Source organism: Homo sapiens, chromosome 10 (assembly GCF_000001405.40).
Source record: "Homo sapiens chromosome 10, GRCh38.p14 Primary Assembly".
Taxonomy (NCBI): domain Eukaryota; kingdom Metazoa; phylum Chordata; class Mammalia; order Primates; family Hominidae; genus Homo; species Homo sapiens.
This window is the reverse complement of record NC_000010.11, coordinates 96,312,988-96,334,731: the sequence shown is the minus strand read 5'-3', so window position 1 is coordinate 96,334,731 and position 21,744 is coordinate 96,312,988. Positions and strand designations below refer to the sequence as shown.

At 42.4% G+C, this 21,744-nt stretch overlaps 1 protein-coding gene across 2 annotated transcripts in view, besides 2 other annotated features; it reads right to left on the bottom strand.

Moving 5' to 3' along the window:
• Positions 1 to 21,744, bottom strand: part of DNTT (DNA nucleotidylexotransferase) — a 34,131-nt gene that overhangs the window by 3,833 nt on the left and 8,554 nt on the right. For both annotated transcript variants that reach the window (NM_004088.4, NM_001017520.2), the window contains exons 2-9: positions 16,206 to 16,380; positions 15,342 to 15,470; positions 13,944 to 14,114; positions 12,004 to 12,075; positions 10,343 to 10,466; positions 7,132 to 7,264; positions 5,902 to 6,007; positions 2,136 to 2,381 (exon numbers count right to left, since the gene is read on the bottom strand). In NM_004088.4, coding sequence (NP_004079.3) covers positions 2,136 to 2,381; positions 5,902 to 6,007; positions 7,132 to 7,264; positions 10,343 to 10,466; positions 12,004 to 12,075; positions 13,944 to 14,114; positions 15,342 to 15,470; positions 16,206 to 16,380 — 1,156 coding nt within the window. The remainder of the gene's footprint in view (positions 1 to 2,135; positions 2,382 to 5,901; positions 6,008 to 7,131; positions 7,265 to 10,342; positions 10,467 to 12,003; positions 12,076 to 13,943; positions 14,115 to 15,341; positions 15,471 to 16,205; positions 16,381 to 21,744) is intronic.
• Positions 8,727 to 8,796: a silencer, noted in NCBI's record as "silent region_2653". NCBI's record gives its function as "represses an Ori minimal core promoter by ATAC-STARR-seq in GM12878 lymphoblastoid cells {active_cell/tissue: GM12878}" and the evidence as "EXISTENCE:reporter gene assay evidence [ECO:0000049][PMID:35858748]".
• Positions 9,911 to 10,472: an enhancer, noted in NCBI's record as "NANOG hESC enhancer chr10:98084017-98084578 (GRCh37/hg19 assembly coordinates)". NCBI's record gives its function as "activates a minimal SCP1, AML or CMV promoter by ChIP-STARR-seq in naive H9 embryonic stem cells {active_cell/tissue: H9 hESC(naive)}" and the evidence as "EXISTENCE:reporter gene assay evidence [ECO:0000049][PMID:30033119]".

Genomic DNA, 21,744 nt, shown 5'->3' with positions numbered 1-21,744 from the left:
TTATGATATATTTTTTCTTTTCTTCCCCTTTTTTTAGGAATGAAAAAAGCATTTAGTTGTCAGTCAACATTTGTGATTAGAGTAAGAAATCCCAGTGCTAAGATGCTGTGCTGAATTAATTCCAGTCCAAAGCAAAGACACCTGACATTTAACCCACGGCTGAGAACAATTAATTTGTGTTGTGTCATTCATCTGTATAAAAAACCCTCTACGAACCCATTTCACTCAAAGCAACAACCAGCTACCTGGGAAAACAGGAGAAACAGGGTGAGGTGTTTAGTTGGGAGGGTGGAACACATGCGAATGGGACTCAAATCACAGGTGTCCTCTCCTGTGAGTGACAGGATATGGAAGCTACTACTTATCCAGTACTGGCCACGTGCTGGCTTGGTGCTGAGGCTTTGAGAACATCATGTCACCTAATGTCTCTGCAACTCAGGGAAGTAGCTAAGGTCATCGTCCTCATTTTCCTGACGGGAAAATTGAGTTTTACAGGATATAGAGAACTTGTCCAAGATCACCCAACAGTAAGAAGCAGTGCAGGAGCTTGCAACCAGGTCTGGGATGAACTCAACTTGTGCTCTTTCAGAAAAATTTTATAGCTTGATTTTATTTTTAATTAACATATAATAATTGTATGCATTTGTGGGTTATAATATGATATTTTGATACATCTATATACATTGCAGAATGATAAAATCAGACTAATTAGCATGTCCATCACCTCAAACTTCTACCATTTCTTTGTGGTAAGAACATTAAAAATCCTCTCTTTTAGCTACTTTGAAATATACACTTTTATTAACTATAGTCACCATACTGTGCAATAGAACAGAGTTTATTCCACCTGTCTGACTGGAACTTTGTACTTGTTGACCCTTTTCCCTGTCCATTTTCTGTCCTCATCCCCCAGCCTCTGCTAACCACCATTCTACATTCTATTCTGTACTTCTACGAGTTTGACTGTTTTAGATTCTACATATACAGAAACGAGATCATACAGTATTTGTCTCTCTGTGCCTGACTTATTCCACTTAACATAATGTCCTCTAGGTTCAACCATGTTGTCTCAAATGACAGAATGTCCTGTTTTCGAAAGGCTGTGTCATACTCCACTGTGCATATACTACATTTTAAAAATCCATTCATCTGCTGTGGATGCTTAGGTTGTTTTTATATAATATCTTGGCTATGGTGTATCATGCTGCAATGAACACGGGAGTGCAGACCTCTCTTTGACATACTGAGTTCATTTCCTTTGGCTATATACCCAGAAGTAAGATTGCTGGATCATATGGTAGCCCTGTTTTTAGTTTTTTGAGGAACTTCCATACTATTTTCCAAAATGTGTAATTTACAACACCACCAACAATACAAGAGGGTTCCCTTTTCTCCACAGCCTCACTAACACCTGCTGTCTTTCATGTTTTTGATAATAGCCAATCTGACGGATGTGAGATAACATCTTATTGTGGTTTTAATTTGCATTTCTCTGATGATTAGAGATGTTAAGCAAGATGGCAATATCTGCTTGCCATTTATATGTCTTCTTTTGAGAAATATCTATTCAAGTCCTTTGCCCATTTTTAAATAGGATTATTTGTTTTCTTGTTATTGAGTCTTTTGGTTTCCTTGTATATGCTGGATAATGGCCCTTATGTGATGTATGATGTGCAGATATTTTTTCCCAATCTGTGAGTTGCCTCTCCACTTTATTAATTGTTTCCTATTTCAATCCCCTTGCTGGTTTCTGTACTTCAGTGGTTCTCCTACTTGAGCTGCATCAGAAACACCTAGAAGCCTTTTCCAAACAAATTTCCGGGCTGAAATCCCCAGAGATGCTGATTTGATTCCATAGGTTTGGAGTGGGGTGAAGAATTTCCATGTCTAACCTGTTCCTGGGTAAGGTTGCTGCTGCTGGTGTTGGGGACCACACACTGGGAATAACTGTTCTAAATTAATCTGTCATACTTGGCCATGTGTGGACAGGATGCCTTGAGTTAGAGGTTTCTGGGTACTGGCCCCTCCCCTGTCACCCAGCCCCTGTTGCCGTCATCTCTCCCCTGGGCCCAGGTAGACTCGGCCTACGTCTTTCAGAAAGCTAACATCATCCCATGGGTCCATGTAGCACTTACCCGGGAGCCAGTCCATCCCAACAGGGCAAAGGCACGACGCTCGTAGGGGCACAGAACTAAATCCACACGGATGGCCTTCCAGGTCTTTCCTTCCTGCCAGCTGGACTGGTCACTGTCCACTCTTTGACGAGGCAATTTGAAAATCAGAAAGCACTTTTGAAAATGATCCAAAGCATCAACCTTCCTGCTAGGCAACCTGAGCTTTTCAAATGTTGACTCCACAAGGTCATAATATAAAAGTAATCCCTGAAAAGAAACAGAATGGCATCAGGAAAAGGCCCTGATGAAGAAGATCTATGATTTAACACTGGATTCTTAATGAAATCTTTTCAGATTCGAGCAGAACATGGACATGTGTTTGGCCTTGCATTAAAGGCCCACCTGCAAACACTAGGAGAAAACACTAAGAAAGTGGTTGCATTATCTTCCCTTTACGGAAAAGGAATTTAGCGATGAGAGAGGCTGAAGCAAAGCCACTTAATGGCAAAACTGCAAGAAAATCTCCCTCTCCACTTCTGAACCTCAGCTAGTGCTCTGGGCTCTCCTCAGTCCTTTAAAAACAAACCAACCATAAACAAAAAGCCACGCTGCAGGAATTTGAGACCAGCCTGGGTGACATAATAAGACCTCATTTCTACATAAAATTTTAAAATTAGCCAGGTATGATGGCACGTGTCTATAGTCCCAGCTACTCAGGAGGCTGAGGTGGAAGGATCCCTGGAGCCTGGGAGGTTGAGGCTTCAGTAAGCTGTAATCACACCAGTGCACACTAGCCTGGGAGACAGAGCAAGACCCTGTCTCAGAAATAAATAAATAATAAAACTTAAAAAATCATATTGTTTCTGGGGAGCAGCTTTGAGTTAGTGTCTGCTATAGTTTGGATGTTTGTCCCCCTAAATCTCACGTAGAAATTTGATCCCCAATGTTGGAGGTGGGGCCTAATGGGAGGTCTTTGGGTCATAGGGGAAGATCTCTCATGAATGACTTGTGCCGTCCTCATCCTCATGGTAATGAGTGAGTTCTCACTTTGTTAGCTCCCGTGAAAGCTGGGGGTTACAAAGAGCCTGGCCCCTCCCCACTCTGTCTTGCTTTCTCTCTCACCCTGTGACCTCGGCACCTGCCAGCTCTTCCTTGCCTTCTGCCATGAGTGTAAGCCCCCTGAGGCCGCACCAGAAGCAGATGCTTGGTGTCGTGCTTCTTATACATCCTGCAGAACCATGGGCCAAGTAAACGTCTTTTCTTTATAAATTACCCAGCCTCAGGTGTTCCTTTATAGCAAGGTAAATGGACAAAGACAGTGTCCCTTCATATTATACTGATGACCAGGTTTAACCAGCCAAAAGCGTTGTGGCTGGAGGCTGAGTCTAACTTTGGGGCAAGATGACTTGCTATTTCTAGGTAGCACTTGGGAGACTCTTTCTCATGAGAGTGTTAGTCCACCTGCCTTGGAGAAAGTGGGATAAAGTTAATGACACATGTTTCACTTAAAGTTGCCTATCCAGAAAGTGGACAAGTGATTCTAAGATGTGCCCAATCGAGTTGCCATTCTTGGTGGGAGTTCCTGATGGCACAGGGCAGATGTGGGGACAGGAGAGAGAAACATGCTAGCAACCACTAAATCTGGCAACAAAAACAGCAAGTAACCCTCAAATAATGTCATCAAGCTACTGGGATGTGTGATTTGTTACCATGTACTCTTTAGGTTAGATGTTTAAAAGCGCTATCATCAGAAGCAATTGGAAGGTTTGCTAAAGCTCAGTTTGCAGGGCTCTGTCCCCAGAGTGATGCAGGAGGGGCAGGGAGGGCATTTCTGACAGGTTCCCAGGCAATGCTGGTGTTCCCGGACCAGGGACCACACTTTGAGCATCATTGGTAAATTGATTATTGTTAGGAATCATGCTTTGTCTTTCTTCTACAAACCTGCACAAGACATTATCTCAATTCAAAAAGATACTTTTTATTTTGTTGACCTCAATAGAGGGAACTCTTCACCCTTCAACGCCTTGAAGAAAAAACACCATTTGAAGGGGGAAGCACTAATGTTAGGAAGAACCTCTGGAGGAGGTGGTAGATGTTGCCGTAGTTAACCTCGAATCACCAGCTCCGGAAAATACAATTCCACTTTTTAAGGAAACTTGCTGAAACTAGTACAGAATAGCAGCCTTTTGTGTAAATTTCAATTATGTAAATTTGAAAAAGGAGATATAAAACATATGAACAAGTCTCACATGAAAGCCAAATTTGTAATAACACACCTTCCCTTAAAAAAAAAAAAAAAAAGCCCACAAAGCTGGATTCCTAACAGTAAACTGTCACTTGGTGGGTAAGAGAGAAATGGGCCATTCTTTATTGGGTTTTGTCTTGAATTTTGCAAGGTGTTTGAGAATGCATCCTTGAACGTAATGCTCCTGTCTGCATATTCAGAAGGTTGTCTGCAGCAGGCCACAGTTGTCAAACATGCACACAACCCCTGATGCCACCTCTAGATCTCCAGCCCCGGCTATCTACAGGGCAGCCCTCTGGGCTCTGGCTTCCCCATCAATACCCACTGGTTGACTGAATATTGACATCAGCATGTTCTTTTATTTTTCCTACTGGACACTGAGAAACTCCTGACTAGGAGGAGGCATTTCCCCACCTCTCCATCCTTCCCATCCTCCCCAGGGTACAGAGCGGCCAGTTCTCAGGAAGAGAGCTGTGGGGCAGGAGGGAGATGCACTCAGCTTGACCTCCCACAGGAAGGCTCCGTCCAAATTTAGTCTCAGGTGCCTTCTGAGGAGGGTTGCAAGGCTGAGTGTGAGGCTCTCTAGCCAGGATCCCTTCCCTGCCCTTCGCTTCTAATTCCCTCCAACTCCTTCTGGGAAGACTCGACGCCCAGTATTCAAACTCGTGTCAGTTTGGATCTGGTTCTAAAGTTGAGTCTTCACTTCCAGTGCCCCTGGCCCTAGGGTTGTGTTTCTAGCTTTTATTTTCACTTTATCTGAGGTTTTCCTTTTCTGGGATATCAGTAAGCTTGGTCCACACCAAACAGATGCAAACTACTCAGGAAGGAGGAAGCTGTGAGGAGAAACACCAGCCCAGCCAGACCTATCTACAGGTCCCAAGGGTAGGACCCTCTGGTCTCTCTAGGAAGTGAGGCTCTCACTAGAGTTGGACAGGAGTCAGGGCTTGCATGTGGCTCTGGCTGCAGGGTTAGCTTAGCTTACTTTGGTTTCCTCCACCAGGCAATAGGCCTGTCACAAGTCTGATCTCTGCAATGTATGGGGGCTTCTGAGCCATGACCTCTGCAGGGCTCAGCTTGCCCTCATTAGTTTCCTTCATTCCATCTCAGCACGAAGTGCCTCGAATCTATCGAGGCACTATCAACACCTCTTAGACTGATTTTATCCCAGTCTTTGCAGTCCTGCCCCCTCACCCAAGCTTGCAGCTTTCCAGCTTACATTTCCCAGGTCTTCATAGTGCATACTTTTCACTTTGATTGGGTGCTTTAATGCCTCTGCATGTCAAACACAAATGCATAGCCACCCTTGGCCCTGTTGGCAATAGGGTAAGTATAATAAACAAGATACAGGACATATTCATAACATGTACTCTAGGACCCAAAACAGGAAAGTCTTATTGTAGGTCATATGGCTTTGTATAAGCTGCCACAAATAATTGAGAATTGATTAGATGGTCATTACACAATTATAAGGCAAGTAATGTGCAAAATTCAAGTGTTAACATAATGTTTGCGTGTGCATGTATTTTTCATCTTTCTTCTCACCTTCTTTTCCCATAAGTTCATCACTTTCTGTAAAAGTTGCTCTTCATCCTCTGTTGATCCTGGGCTGGTAATTAAAAAATCTACATCATGCCCCATCTTCTTACCCCTAATTTTCAAAAGCAGTATAAAATGGAAATCAATTAGATATTAGTCTTCATTTTTAAAAAATCACCTTTGTTTCTATGCCCTATGCTTAAGATTTGCAACATAGAAGGTTCTTGACTTTTTTTTAAGAAACAAAATATCCTTGGTTACACATCGCTGTTCCTTACAAAATAAATTTATGACACAGAAAAAGTCATACATAGCATGTATCTGATTATGTATATCAAGGCAAAAAATAACAAAAAAATTATTTATTCTACACACTCACACAAACCTACATGCACCCACACATACACACATGGAGACAAGCATGACAACAAGCAAACTAAGAATTGTATTCACATAATACAAGGTAGCGCTCTTGGAATTATGACATGGAGTAAAGGCATTATCTTAGATTTGATCTTCTCTTACTTTCTTCCTTGCCCCAAACCTATTTTGTTAGGATGGCCAAAAGCCACCAGGTGAGAGGGCTGGAGAAAGAGGTAGAGGAGGCTGTGGGAGGAAAGAAATCCCTTTCTGAAATGCAGGCCTCAATATCCAACAACAACATACATCCTTGTGAAGCGTTCACTCATTCATGAATTCATTCAGTCAGTCATTTATTGACTCAACCAAGATTTCTTGAGCACCTACTTTGTGCTAGGCATCATGAACTAGTCTTGCTGAGAACTAAGCTCTACAAACTTAGTGGAGAAACCACACACAGGAACAAATCACTGTAACTATGTGGATCAAGGGCTTTGCAGGTACTCAGGGAGCATGGAAGAGGGGCACTAATCCAGCATGGAGAAAGAGGGAGTCAAGGAAGGCTTTCTGGAGAAGGTGCCATCTAAATTGAGTGTTAAAGAATGAGGGGAAGTCAGCCAAGCGACAATTTGAGGAATGGCAGTCAAAGCAGAAAATTCTGAGTAAGCAAAGCAACAGGCAAGAAACAGCTCTGAATGTGCAGGGGATGACAAGCCATTTGGGGTTGCTGAAATGAAATGTGAGAGGCAGGAGATAAAGCTGTAGAAAGAAGCTGGCACCAGATCACAGCCTTTTGTGCCGTTTCAGATGCCTGTCCAAGTCAGGGAGCCACTGAAGTATTCGGGCAGAGGAGGCAAAGCCACCCAAGTTATTTACCTCCGGAACCCTCCTGTCATGGTGACGAAAGCATCCGGAAGAAATGCCCAGACAGCCTCTTTAACCAGCACACTGACGGCCTCTGCTTCTGCCCTGGTCACACAGCTGACAAGGTCTTCATAATACAGAAATCCTGAGAGGCCATTTGACAGGTCAATGGAGAGAGTGACACGTGTGTGAAACAACCAGCCCTCAGTAGAAGGGGATTCTGTCCCCACGATAGAGCTAACATGACTACAGGCATCAACACCAAACTCCATTCCCACAGAGACAGAATAGTCCATGTGGTTCTCCTGGTTGTGAATTTTTCAGGGTAACAGTGGTTCTTTGCTTTCTAACCTAGAGGCTTACAATTTCCTGAGAAGGAGACAATATTTCACATCCCTCTGGAATCCAAACTGTTCAGATCTGACTTCCTACTGAAGAACCAGCCTTCTTGATCAATAGGCTGTGTCCTACTGTTTTTTAAAAGGTAACGCATAAAGATTTGGGATGAGGAGATTTAGAGTTGGAAGGTGATGGATCCATTAAAAAATTAAAGTCAAGAATAGGAGCAGAGTAGATGTGTGTCTGAAGCAAGGCAGGAAATATCTTAGGTGGTTTAGCTTGTTGCTTCTTTGCCTGACCAGCATGAATTAATGAAAGTTCAGAGTTGTTATGATGAAAAGCTAACTTGGTGGTTCCCACAGAGCAGTGTGGAGGGAGATTTGGAAAGAAAGAGGAAAGGAGAAGGGAGGCTTATCTCCAAGGATTGGGGTGAAGTATTGGTGAGGAGATGAGCCTGGTGATTAGATCCATAGAGCCTGAGGGACATCAAATCATGCTTCAGCATCGCTGCTCTCCTATCTAGGGTCTCCAAGAGGGGGCCATTCAAACTTTGCTTGACTCTAATAATGGGGAACTCTGATACCTCCAGAGGAGCCTGTTTCCTAATTGTAAACTCTGTTGTGCCAGTTCTTTCTTTTGAAAAGCCTAAGTCTACTTCTTTGCGATTTCACCTGCCACTGGCCCTCTGAAATGACAAGAGTAAATCTATTGGTCCTTGTTTCTCACCCTGGGATTGTGGAAGGGAGGCAGCAGGGTGGCCATTTGGCTTGCACACCCTGCCAAATTTCCCATGTTATCTCTAATGGGGACAGTCACGGAAACATGCTGGCAAGACCAAGAGAAAATGGTATTCATATGAATACACCTATAAACTGTGTCCAATACCAAACCACGCCACTTGTGGAACACTACTTTCTTTATTTCAATATGATACTTATTTTTTATTTTTATTAAAAAGCCACATTTCTAAAAATTATTGCAACATGGCCATTTTTGTGAGCATGAGGAGTTTGATCTAAGAAGCAATGCTCTATTAGGCTGTAATACAGAAACTGTCATCATGACTAATATTCAAAGTACAACTCACTGGGTAACCACAAACACCTGTGCTTATGCAGTGATATACACGATCCAAAAGTCAGGATTCACAACTATTTCTTTAAGAAGATGTGCAGCTATCAGGAATGAACATGTAAGACTATGATGATTTGTTGACATCCATGAAAGTAATTTAATTGGCTTTCCTTTTTGGTATGGCAAGGCGACTAACTTATTACAGGAAACTTATCACACAGTATAAGGTTAAATATGTGCTGCTATAGTTCATAAACTGACTTTTCAAGGCAAACGTGGCATGTGCACGCTCAAGCCTCAGGGAACTGCAATCAAGTGCAAATATGAGTAAAACTGGATCAGGTTATCCATCTGACCATGAACTGTCCTTTCAATATGTTCAATTAGCTTACCCTTCACAGTATTCTAAGCTATTCCCATTGGCAATTCCATTCATTGTAGTGCTGCTCCAAGGGGTGCCTATAACTACTTGTGGGGGTATAAGTATAATGGGAGGGCATTCCTTGATTTCTGCATAGAACTGGTAGCATTAAACAGTTAGATGGAAATCACTGATTGACTAAATGAATAAAGCTGTTTCATTCAAAGGGTTGGAAAAGCTCAACAGGAAGAACAAAAATCCAGTTTACAAAGCTAGGGAATTGGAAGCCCTTAGATCCTGAGAGCACTGGACGTCATTTGATAAGGGTTTCATCCAAATGAAACACTATATTGCCTCCCAATTTCTCTCTAAGCATTGAGAGTCTTTACTCATCATTCCAAACCATTTACTTGCTACTTATGTTTAATACTTATTTAAATTTCTTTTGAATGGCATCTTGAGAACTGGTGTAAATCATCCTTATTAAACGTGTGCTTTCAGGGTCCTGGAATATAAATACTGGATCTTTTTTTCTTAGACTCTTTTATTTCCTATGTGGCATTGTATTATTAGCAATCTTTCAAAGATTAGCAACTTTACAAAAAATGAGTAGGGACTATGGCTGTGACTCCTTTTTGAATCACAACTGTATTGTATTTTTATTGCTTGTTAAAAGTAAACATTTTTTTAAACACACAGTTTTTTTCACACTGTATTGCCATTCCTTCATTTTTAAAAAACTTACTGGGAGCCTCATAAATGGAAGTGACCAGGCTACCTTCAACCTCTGAGAGGCCCTGCCAGGCTTTCAGGTGGGTGATGACAGCACTCATGTCCCACCACGGTCTTGTCTTAGGCGAAAGAGTCCTGGTTGGGTATATCAACCCTGTGCCTAGATTTCCACCAGTTCCCTTCTATTTTCCTGGTGTTTTACAGTTTCTAGGGCATCTTCACATTTGTGCCAGGCAACAACTCTGTTCAAGTATTCTTAGCAGCCAACCCTTCTGTCTTTGACTCTTCACCCACAACTCTTACCCAGGGAGACAGCCAGGACCCAATGTCCGGAAGAGTCAGTAAGGACCAGATCAGCAGCACAACCTGGCTTGACATTTGGGTGAAGGACCACAAACAGCCACAGTGGAGGGCGCCTTTGCTCTGTGTCAGACACAGTGCTGAGGCATTGCCTGCATTATCTGATTGACTTCTCAGCTAAGTATCAATGTTATCTCTCTTTCATAGATTAGGTAACTAAGGTTCAAAGGTTTTAACCAACTTGCTCAAGATCACACAGCTGGAAACTGCTGGAGCTAGGATTTAGATCCAAGCATCAATGGACATCAAAGAAGTGTCCCAGCTCTCCCAGATTGGAGTTGCAGTGTAACTGACTTAGAGCTCCACCACGACCCGACCAGCCCATAGCAACAATGACTTTTAGGAGAGACAATTTACCTGCTTTCTGCATTCGTGTAAATTTCAGGCTTTTGTCCGACCTTACTTTACTCAGAGTTCTGAAACCCATCCTGAACCACTTCTCAGAAGTCTTCAGCCCCACTCCAAATACAGAAGTAAAGAGCTAAAATGGAGGGAAAGGCATGCCATCAGTCTCTAAGATAATCATTATAACATCCGAGTCATGACCCTTTCTAGGTCTCAGGCAATGAAGAAAAAGTATAAGCAAATCTTTGACCTAGTTTCTCCTGAATATAACGAGCAGGTGGGTGATGGTTATTTTTAAGGGCATTTTTTATTTCAGGTGAGTCCTTTCTTGACATGTGGCATTACAAAATGAAACAGAAGTAACAAGCAGGTTCTGGCACCTGTGCAGGGCTAAGGTATAGTCTAATTGACGGCCTGCCTGTGCTGTCCATGAGTGATACGCTAGCTCTATAGGGCTCTCCCTTTTGCTGGGTCTCTCACCGACACTCATGCTCTGCATAGGTACCCTCACATTTTGAAAAGAGATGCTCATGTAGGTTATATAGTTTCTCCACCATCATACAGGTGGGAAGTGGCACAGCCCAAACTTAAACCCTGGTCTGTTTACACTCCAAGCCTGTGCTCCTGCTCATGGCCATATTTTAGGCCTGTACATCACTTTTGCTTTGAAGGAACTGGTGGAAGTCCCTTCCACCTGCAACTCTAAGGTAGGGAAAATTGGGAGGTAATAAACCCTGCTTCCAAGTAAATGAAGATGCAGTAAGGAGATTTTCAGACACAAATCTGCTCTTTAAGAGCAGTTCCGTCCTGTCCCCACCAACCCCCCCATGGTCCTCATGTCCCATGATGTTTGTACCCATGAGTGACAGACTCTTGGAGGGTAAGGCAATTTGTACATCACGACAGCATGGCAATAATCTGGGCACCTGAATTTATTTAGGCATTTTCTTCCTAGACCAAAGCTATGGACGGAATTCCCCCTCCCAACCCATTTGTATGTTGAAGTCCTAATCCCCAGTATGACCGTATTTAAGACAGGGCCTTTGAGGTCATGAGAGTGGGGCTCTCATGATGGGATTAGTGTCTTTTTGTTTGTCTTGTTTTTGAGACAGTCTCACTCTATCACCCAGGCTGGAGTACAGTGGCATGATCTCAGCTCACTGCAACCTCTGCCTCCCAGACTCAAGTGATTCTCATGTCTCAATCTCCCAAGTAGCTGGAATTACAGGCATGCCTCACCACACCTAATTTTTGTATTTTTGTAAAATGATGGGGTTTCACCATGTTGGCCAAGCTGGTCGAATTCCTGGCTTCAAGTGCACCCGCCTTGGCCTCCCAAAGTGCTTGGATTACAGGCATGAGCTATGGTGCCCGGCCCAGGATTAGTGTCTTTGTGACACCAGAAAGATTGCTTGTTCTCTCTGTCTCTCTCTCACCATGTGAGCAGGGGAGCATGTGAGGACACAGGAAGAAGCCAGAAAGAGAACCCTCACCAGAAACTGACCCTGCTGACATCTTGATCCAGAATGGTGAGAAAATAAATTTCTGTTGTTTAAGCCACGCCATCTCTGTATTTTGTTATTGCAGCCCAAGCTGACTAATACAACCAGCCAGAATAAGTAATAAGATTAACTGAAAAACAATTTTCAATAAATATATGTAAAATCACTTACTTTGAAGGATTGATATCGTTCATCATTTAACACAGCTTTAACTTCAGAACTTTCTCCATCTTCAATAATCTCCTAATGGACAGTTGAAAAATATTTTAAATTAGTGATGTTGGACAATTACTGTCTAAGACTCTCAAATTCATGGACCTAGTAGTTTGGTTTCTCATGAAATGTGCATGCATCACATGCAGGGGTATTTCCCTAATTGATCTGGAGAAAACAAGACATTTCCCTACAATCTTGAAAATGCTAGCTCATCATATATCCAAGGACCCCTTTACGATCCTTAGGAACAAAGATACAAATGGTTAGGATCCAGATCTACAGAATCCCAAACCAAAATATTCACTGAAAAATGTATGTCCAAATATTGGTGATAATTTTCTCTTCAATGAATATGACCTTACTGAAATAAGAAGACTTTTCCATTGACAAGGTTAATTTTGGACCCACCAAAAAGCCAATCTACATTCAAGCCCTTGTGATGTCTAGCTCAGAGCCCCCTTCCTCTGAGTAGAGTTGGGATAATTGTCCTTGAATAATATACCTTGCACTTGACTATACAGAAACTTACTACCAGATGACCAACTTGCTTTGCTGGGGAATCCCTAAACACCGTTCAGTAAATAAGCACAACCTCTGGCGCTCTCCCTGGAGAGGTGTAGAACCACCTCCACTTCATGTCAAACGCACCACTGCTCTAAGGTGGCGCCCCCAGGTGGAACTGAGGGAAATCAGACCATTTCCCTGCTGTCAAGATTTAGGCCACTTGAGTCTTTCACTGTGATTAATAACAGTATGGGAGAGTTCTGCTTCTACTAGCTGGTTCCATGTAGCTCCAGCTGTGATAATATTAGGGTATGGATTATAAATAACACGTCTGTATCTATTTATATGTTAGAGTAGGTAGCTAGTCAGGCATGAGCAGGGCAGGAGAGGGCTCCCCCCTCCAAACCAGGAATGTCAGGCGACCATCAGGTGATGGTCCAGGAGTTATCACACTGTCTCTCTAAAATGATAATTGGTTGCAGCCAGTGCTAGAGAGAGGCAATTCCGTGATGGTCTGGCAGTTGTCACCCTATAAAATGATTAGTCACAACTGGCGCCAGGGAGAGGCAATTTCCCAATAGATAAAAACACTTGAAATTGGTAATCAGCAGCTTCCATTAAAATCTCAGGAATTGGGCGAGTGGGCATGAGCATGCACATTAAGAGACAAAATGGCAGATTATGACTTTCCGGAGCATTCCACCGGAAAAGGGAAGAATGCCTCAGGTGAGCATGCATACAACTCCAGTAGACACACTGCACATGCTCCCCTCCCAAGCACAAGGAGGGCACTGTGCATGCGGGTGGCTCACCCTAAGGGAAGAATCATGGGAAAAGTGACGCAGGACCCCAGAAGTATGCCAACATATACCCCAAGTCAAAAGGTCAAACGCTGCACTTGTCCTCCAAGTTGCCCACTTGGGTCTCTTCCAAGTGTACTTTCCTTTCTTTCCTGCTCTAAAGCTTTTTAATAAACTTCCACTCCTGCTCTGAAACTTGCCTCAGTCTCTTTTTCTGCCTTATGCCCCCCAGTCGAATTCTTTCTTCTGCGGAAGCAATAATTGGGGTTGCTGCAGACCCGAACGGATTCACTATCGGTAACTCTGACACCTGCCACCACTAACGTATTTTGGTGCCATGTGACTAGGATATTCACAACCCCTAACATATATATATGTGTATGTGTGTGTGTATGTGTATAAAAATAAACAGAGAGAGAGAGAGAGAGAGAGAGAGAGAGACAGAGGAGAGAGAGAGGAATATGTATAAAGGAAAATTTGTGATGTACACCACATCTACATAGTTGACAGGAAAATCTGTTAGCTACATCCCTCTCTCCCCCGTTCCCACCTACCTATTGGGAAGTGGGACAAATCCCATTTCACCCTTACCTCTATGATACCCTTCACCTTGGACCCCAGGCAGGGAATTCCTTCTGTGTCCTTCATACTGATGATTGTGAATGGCAGAGATTTCAATACAGAAGCTGCTCTCATAAATGTCACACAGGAGTCTTCATTTTCTCTAAACTCACAGTTTTCAGCCAGTATATCAAAGGCATCCTGCAGGATAAAACCAGATAAGCAGGAGATTTGCTTCCAAGCCCCTGAGCCAGTGGTCACTCACAAACGCCTCTTGCTCTCCTTTAAATATTGGAATACCACTTGCGTGTTTCCTTCTAGGTCAGGATGGGGTCTCCCATACCCTTGTATGCCTCTCTGGTGTCATGGAGTAGAGTTGAATTGAAAAGACAGGTACCAGAGTGCATTATGCGGAAACTTGGAGTACACTGCTATTAAACATTCACAGATGATTTAACTAAAAAATGCTTTGGTGCTCACAGCATCTTGCTAGTCATGACTCAGCATAATCCCTCCTTCTGTACTATCTTCCCACTAGCCTGTGGCTAGAATTCTGCCTTGATCACTGAGCAGCCCCATGAAACACAGCACTTAACACAGGCTTGTTGAATGAATGAGTGTAGTCGTAGGTCACACAGACCCAGAGCCAGGATTATTTAAGGTAGGGCACGTTTGTATTTCTAGCAGGGGAGGAAGCAGCTGTAGCTGTGTGATCTCATGCTCAGCATATCCAGTAGCTACAATTTCCTAGTCTTTCCAACACAGACATGGAGCTGGAAGTCTAGAAATGAGAAGCTCTGTATTGATCTACTACTACATGTTTCATCCAGCTAACCACTGACTCTAGGCTAGCAGACAAGCAGTTGTGGGTTTTAGGGCCATTCAAAACACAATTACCAATCTGAGGGCTGAGTGGAGCTTTAGATATGATCCATCCAATTTCTTTTTGAATAGATGAGGAGACAGGCTCAGAGAGAGAAATTGACTTGCCCAAACTAGTGAATATCAGAAAGGCTGGAATCTAGGTTTGCTCAATTTTTTGGTTTCCCAGCAAAAGCTGTTGATGTATTGTTACCATTTCTATGTAATTTGCTCTTACTATGTTTTGGACTAATTCCAGTATTTGTTTTTTCAGAATATTTGCTTTTGACAAGTGTTGCGCCCATTAATGACAACTATCTGTAAATAGTAATCCGCTGTCTCTAAAGAATATAACCTAAATGTATTTGTCTATTTCCAGGAAGGAAGGAGACCCAGTCTCGATAGAAAGAAGAAGGATAGAAGGATCAGAGATCAGGCTAGGGCTGCAGGTAGGTGGGAGGAAAACTTTCCCAGGTTTTCAGAAAAATTTATAATTTAATTTGCGGTCCACAGAAAGAAGCTGCAAGCCCTTCGTTTGCCCTGGGTGTTGATGTAAAGTCCCGTTACCGTGAATATCTGGTTACAGTTGTTTAAAGTGGTTCTTCTCTGACACGCATACTGGGAGATCTTTTGTACAGCAATTGGTGGAGTCTTCGGGGGGCCTGGGTTGGTGCTATCTGAATAGTCTCTTCTCACCTAAACAAATGCATAAGCATCCATTTTCAATAAAAATTAATAGTAATAACAGATATGTACGGAAAAAATTTGGAAGTAGTTGTCTGTAGTTGGAGGATAAAATTATAGGAGACTCAAAATTTATGTTATATACATCTCTAATATTTGAACTTGCTATTATCAACACGTATTATTTTTGAAATCAGAAAAAAAAATGAAAAGACCTATCAATTAAATATCATCTTCGTTTTCTATGAACTTCTGTAGTTATGGTCCAAGCCCTCTTCCCAAAGATTTTAGCACAATTGCTCAAATATTTGGAATTGAGAGCTTAACTTTTTGTTTTGTTTGTTTTGTTTTGTTTTGTTTTCTGAATGATCACAGTGAGAGAAAAAAAGGAATCTCCTGCTTTTCTGGCTGCTAGAATATCAAGGCTTAAATATTTTGAAAGATTTGTGTATAAATGTGTTCGGGAAAATAGCGACCACTCGTTAGATGCCTGCTATAGTCAACACATTGTGTTCAGCGCTTTACATGTGTGTTGTTCTAATCTTCATGACCATTTTGTGAGGCTGGCATTATCGTTATGTCATATTATAAAGGAAGAGACTGAAGCTCAGTAAAGCTAAGTGACTTGCCCAAGGTCACACAGGTAGTAAGCAGAGAATTTAGGGTTTACCCCAGCTCCGTTGATCCTAAGCCTATGTTCTTAACCATCAAGCAAAGAACAGTGAAAATCACACCCATGACACTTACAACAAGCTGGTGTTTTCCTGTCATTTCCACCGGTTTCCCTGCTCTTATGCATTCGATCAGCCAGGAGACATCGAGGAGCTCTGGTTGTGAGCTGACTTGTACTTTCTGTGCTTGAAGCCACTCCAGAACATCCGAACCCGAGTTGTTCTCTGCTACGATGTGGGTGACAGAATCACTGCAAAATGCAAGACAGAGTTACCAGCTGAAACATCTTTCAAAATCAGAAGCTCTCCTCTTTCCTCAAGGTTTCTGAGCATTCCATCTGATGGAGAAAGACACATGCTAGACCTAACCATAGGTGTGGAGAATTTAGGCCTCCATGCAAGGGAATTCTCTCTACATTAATTAGTATGGCAACAGTGGTCCGGGTTACATGTCAGATGCACGAACAATAAAGACAACATTAGCAGGACTGAGGCGTTGATGGAAAACCAAGGTCCAGAAAAGATGGAAGGTAAAACTGCTCTTAAAGTAGCACCTAGCATTCCACATGAGGTTTTGGCATGCTGCTCCATTTTTACTAGTGGAGGACTTTAATAATCCAATGGCCTTCAAACTTGTTTGACAGTGACCCACAGTTAGAAATACGTTTTATATTATGATCCAAAGTAGACATAGAAATAGGTACAGATGTAGCTATGCTTACATGGTTTAAGCAACTGTCTTAATCCATTTAGGCTGCTATAACAAAATACCTTAGACTGAGTAATTTATAAACAACAGAAACTTATTGCTCACAGTTCTGGAGGCTGGAAAGTCCATGATCAAGGGGTCGGCAGATATGGTGTCCAGTGAAGGCCCATTCTTCATAGATGGCACCCACTGTGTGTCCTCACATAGCAGAAGGGGAAGGCAGCTCTCTCGGGCCTCTTTTTTAAGGACATTAATTTCTCATTCACTAGGTGGAGCCCTCATAACCTACTCACCTCCCAAAGGCCCCACCTTCTAATATCATCGCTTTGGGGATTAGGTTTCAATTTATGAATTTTGGGGTGACACAAATATTCAGACCATAGAAACACCCCATTAAATGATCTCACAGTTTATTATTAACAATAAATTAATTATTTATAACCAGCCTTCAAGAAATTTTGATTTACATGTTTTCGAAGCATGGACAGGGATCTTTTTCTTAACAGGTACTAAGCACTTACCATGTTTAAGGCATTGGCCATGTGCTTTACCTACATCATCTCATTTAGCTCCTCAATAAGTGTTACATCATTCACACTTCAAAAATGAGGAAACTGAGGAACAGAGAGGTCAAGTGACATTCTAAAAGTCACACAGCTGGTAAATGATACTCATCTTTCTTTTATTGTTTTTTCTGGGCCAGATATGTTATTTCTAGTTTTTAATAAGTCTTCACATTCAGCATTATATTATTGGACCCAGTGATTTTTAAGATCCTTTCAGTTCAAATAGTCTATAAATCTGAGCAATAGCATGAGCACACAGCATACCCAAGCATCGAAGAGAAAACATAGCAATATTTTCTCTTTCTCCTCCTATTTTGTTTCCTTGATTTCCTCTTTCTCCATCTTCTTTTTTTGATAGAATCTGATTCATGAGGTATTTTTAAATTTGCTATTATATGCACAACCCTAGATTCCTTGTGATAGTGGTGGCGGTGATGGTAGTAGGAGGAGGTTGGGTACCAAAGAAGAAAAAGGAAGTTACTAGACACTAGTATGTTACATGAAACAGATGGCTTATGATGTGAATTATGACAAGACATGAGGCATGAAGATCTGCCATGTTCAGAGAAGGAAAAAAACATGGTGTAAGCTGGGAGAGGCAGCTGGTTGGTGGCAGAGCTGGGACTGTGTCTAGTCCTGAATGACACACCTAAAAGGCAGAACTTAGGGTTCTCCTGGAAGAAAAGGGTCAGGGGCCAGAAGGACAGGGAGGAGAATGGCCTGGGTTGGAGTGGAGAGTTTATATTGGGAAGTAATTGTAGATGTGGCTGAATTCGTAGGGACAACTACATTCTAGAAGGTCTTAGAAGCCTGTTGAGGAGGTTTGATCTTATTTTCTGGGGTTGTGGAGCCAGTGAAGGCTTTTGTGAGCAGAACATTGATAGCACTACAGTGTTATTTTAAAAGACGAGTCTGGTACATACAGTGATTTGGAGGGGAGCGTAATGGGGTAGGGAGGGTTGCGGAACTACTTAGGAAGATGAAATGATTGTGTAAGTGTGAGATGATTTTAACCCAGTCTGGCACAGAAAAGCAGAGGAGAAATATGGTAGACATCTGCATCAGCTCACCTATGAAAGATGAATTCAGGGAGGGAGTCAAATATTACTCCAGCATATTAATCACAGTAAAGTAATGGCACTTTTGGTAGAAATCAGATTTAGGAAGTTGCGTCTCTTTGGGGGAAGGGGTGGAGCGGTGGAACTGAAGTTTATTTCAGGCATGCCGCATTTGAAGGACAGCAGGAGATCCAAATTAAAATATCTGGTTGACAGTTGGGATCTGAGGTTGGTGCTCAGAGAGAGGTGTGGGCTGGGGTCAGAGCTGAGACCATCTGGATGGCAGGATGTGCCTAAACAGAAATAAGTCATGGCAAAGCAACATTCTACAAGAATTAAAGGAAGATGGATAACCACTTCCCTATTGTAGATCCATATTATTTCAAAATTTATTTATAATAAAATTCCTGAAGGATTCTTTGGATCAAGGATTAATAGGAAGTGTTATTCCATCTATATTTTCCATCTATATTTCTGCCTTTTGGAGGGAAAAATTATTATTATATTATTATACTTATGATACATTATTATTTATTATAATATTATTACAATAAATAGAGTTTTACCTAACCCTGAGAGGGAGAAGGGTATGTTAAAGAGGAACCCTGGGACCCCTAACCACCTACACTCTTACCACTCCCCCTACTGCCTCTTCTCCTGGGATTCTCTGAGACAGTGTGAGAATGTCTGCGCTCACATTGTTGGGTGAGAACCATATGCATTTCTTAATTAATACAAACAAATTTGTGGATGACAGGCTGTACGTCATATGAAGGAAGGCTCTGATTTAAACTCCCACTTCCTGTTCAATAAGCAACTAGCAAACAAAACAAAAGAGCAATAATAATCTTAAGCACACACAAAAACCAAAAAGTCAAACAAAACCTCTTAAGCCAATGCTACTCAGAGCTCAGTATTGGTTGCCACTAGTTCCCAACAAGGTAAGTTCAGAAATTGTAAGTCAGCATTTAGAAACTTTAATTGTAATTTGACATCACCAAAATAGTTTTATTGTGGCTTAAAAAAAAAAAAAAAGAAGCATTGGTCTTCAACACATTTTTTGAAAACTGGTCCTTTGCCACAAATAATTTAAGAAATTTTGTTGAGAGAATCTCTGTTGTGGCCCAGACTGTATTTCCCATCGTCTTGTGTTGCCTGAGTTCGGCTGATCCTCTGCATGTGGCCAGCTAGATCTGGGCTGTGATGTGCTTCCTCGTGTCGGGGTTGCCATCAGCCCCTCACAGGCAATTCACAGTCTCTGTGTGTTGTTCACTTTCAGCTCCGAGCCCTTACCGAGCAGTATTACTAAGGAGACCCATGGCCTCTAGTGTGCTCTGCTGATACTTTCTTATCACTATCTTGTGGCAGCTGTTTGTCTATTTGCTGGTACAGTGGTTTTCTCTCTGCTCTGAACACTCCAATACTGGAAATGTTAACAATATTAGAATATTACTATATGCTAGACACTCTGGTAGGCACACTTTATACATCACTTCATTTAATTATCAATAATGCCATGAGATAGATATGATCATCCCCATCTAAAAATGGGAAGAGAGGCTGGGCGCGGTGGCTCATGCCTGTAATCCCAGCACTTTGGGAGGCTGAGGGGGGCAGATCATGAGGTCAGGAGATCAAGACCATCCTGGCTAACACGGTGAAACCCTGTCTCTACTAAAAATACAAAAAATTAGCTGGGCGTGGTGGAACGCGCCTGTAGTCCCAGCTACTCGGGAGGCTGAGGCAGAAGAATCACTTGAACCTGGGAGGCGGAGGTTGCAGTGAGTTGAGATTGTGCCACTACACTCCAGCCTGGGCGACAGAGCGAAACTCCATCTCAAAAAAAAAAAAAAAAAAAAAAAAAAAAGGGAAGAGATAGCCTTGGAAATGTTAAAAATTTCACCCAGCGAATAATTAGTAGGTGGAGCAGGGATTTGATCCTATGGCTGTTCTCATCAAAGTCTATGTGCTTGGCCATCCATGACTTTGTGTTCTTTGGAAAAGGAGGGAGCTGCTCACTTCCTCTTGTTGCAGAGGGAGTAACATCTGGATGGGTATCATAATAATAAGAAAATCGATTTCCTCCCAAGGGCAGAAATACAGATGGAATAGCACCTCCTATATAACAGCAGTAAACGTATTGCCTTGCTGCTGCCACATAGAATTTGTGTTTTGCTATTTTATGTACAATATTATATGGACTAAACTAGACTACAGGACATGTAGAACTGCCCCAGAAAACTTGAAAGAACAGTTGCCATAGCCACACATCAAGACGGAGCAGCCACAGGGAGGCTGTCAGGCTCTCTGGGCTCTGGGTTTTCCCTAAACCTCTGAGGGAGATGGACGTGTCAAGGGGGAGCCCTGGACTCATCGTCCAAATTCTGGCCTGTCACCATCCACTCCTACCCTGCTGCTCCATCGCCACCATCTCTCCACCTAGGATTCCTCTGGACACAGCCCTGCCTCTGATGGGGACATTAGAATGCTGGGGAGTACAGATGGGATGGGGCTCAAGGCACTATTAAGTAACCAACAATAAATACTGGCATATAAAGGGAATCAGACTAGAAAGAAATACTTGTGACTATTAGCAAAGATAATGATAATGACATACACACATGTGCACATATTCTTACTTAATCCTCACAACAGCCTAGCACAGTAGGCAATGTAATCACAGAGGAGAAAACCAAGCCTGGGGGAGCTTACATGAAGCCGAGGTTCAAACCCAGGTGTGCCTGACTCAAGCAACCTCTTAACGTTCTGCTAGACTGTGGTTAGATGCCTGAGGGGAGCTTTGTTTGTGTGTTTGAAATGTTTTTCTTTATTTTCTCATTTTCTGTAATGAACTATCTATGGTCACTTTTCTACTTGGGGGAAAATATACATGAATGTCATTTTCAAGGGCAAATGAATCTGTGATTGAGGCTGAAGTTGTTTCTGCCTTGCCCACAGAGACCTTGGCTTCCTTCTTATAATAAAAGGTGACAGAAACCCTCCGGCAGCCAACCTCAACCTCAGAGATCCCAAGGTTCTGCTGAGATGGCTATTTCCAAAATATCAGTGAATTCAATCTTCTCCTAATTTCTTGGCCATGACCGATTGTTAGTGCTTTGGACTAAGTTTGGGAGGTCTTGAACAAATTATAGCAATTCTGAGAGAACTGGCATTGGTACCTCAGTCTCCTACAGGGAAGAAGATTCAGGGTCTCCTCCTTCAACTAGTGCTTGACTGTCAGGTGCCCAGCTTGGTCCTTGGTGTCCCTGAGAGCAGGGACAG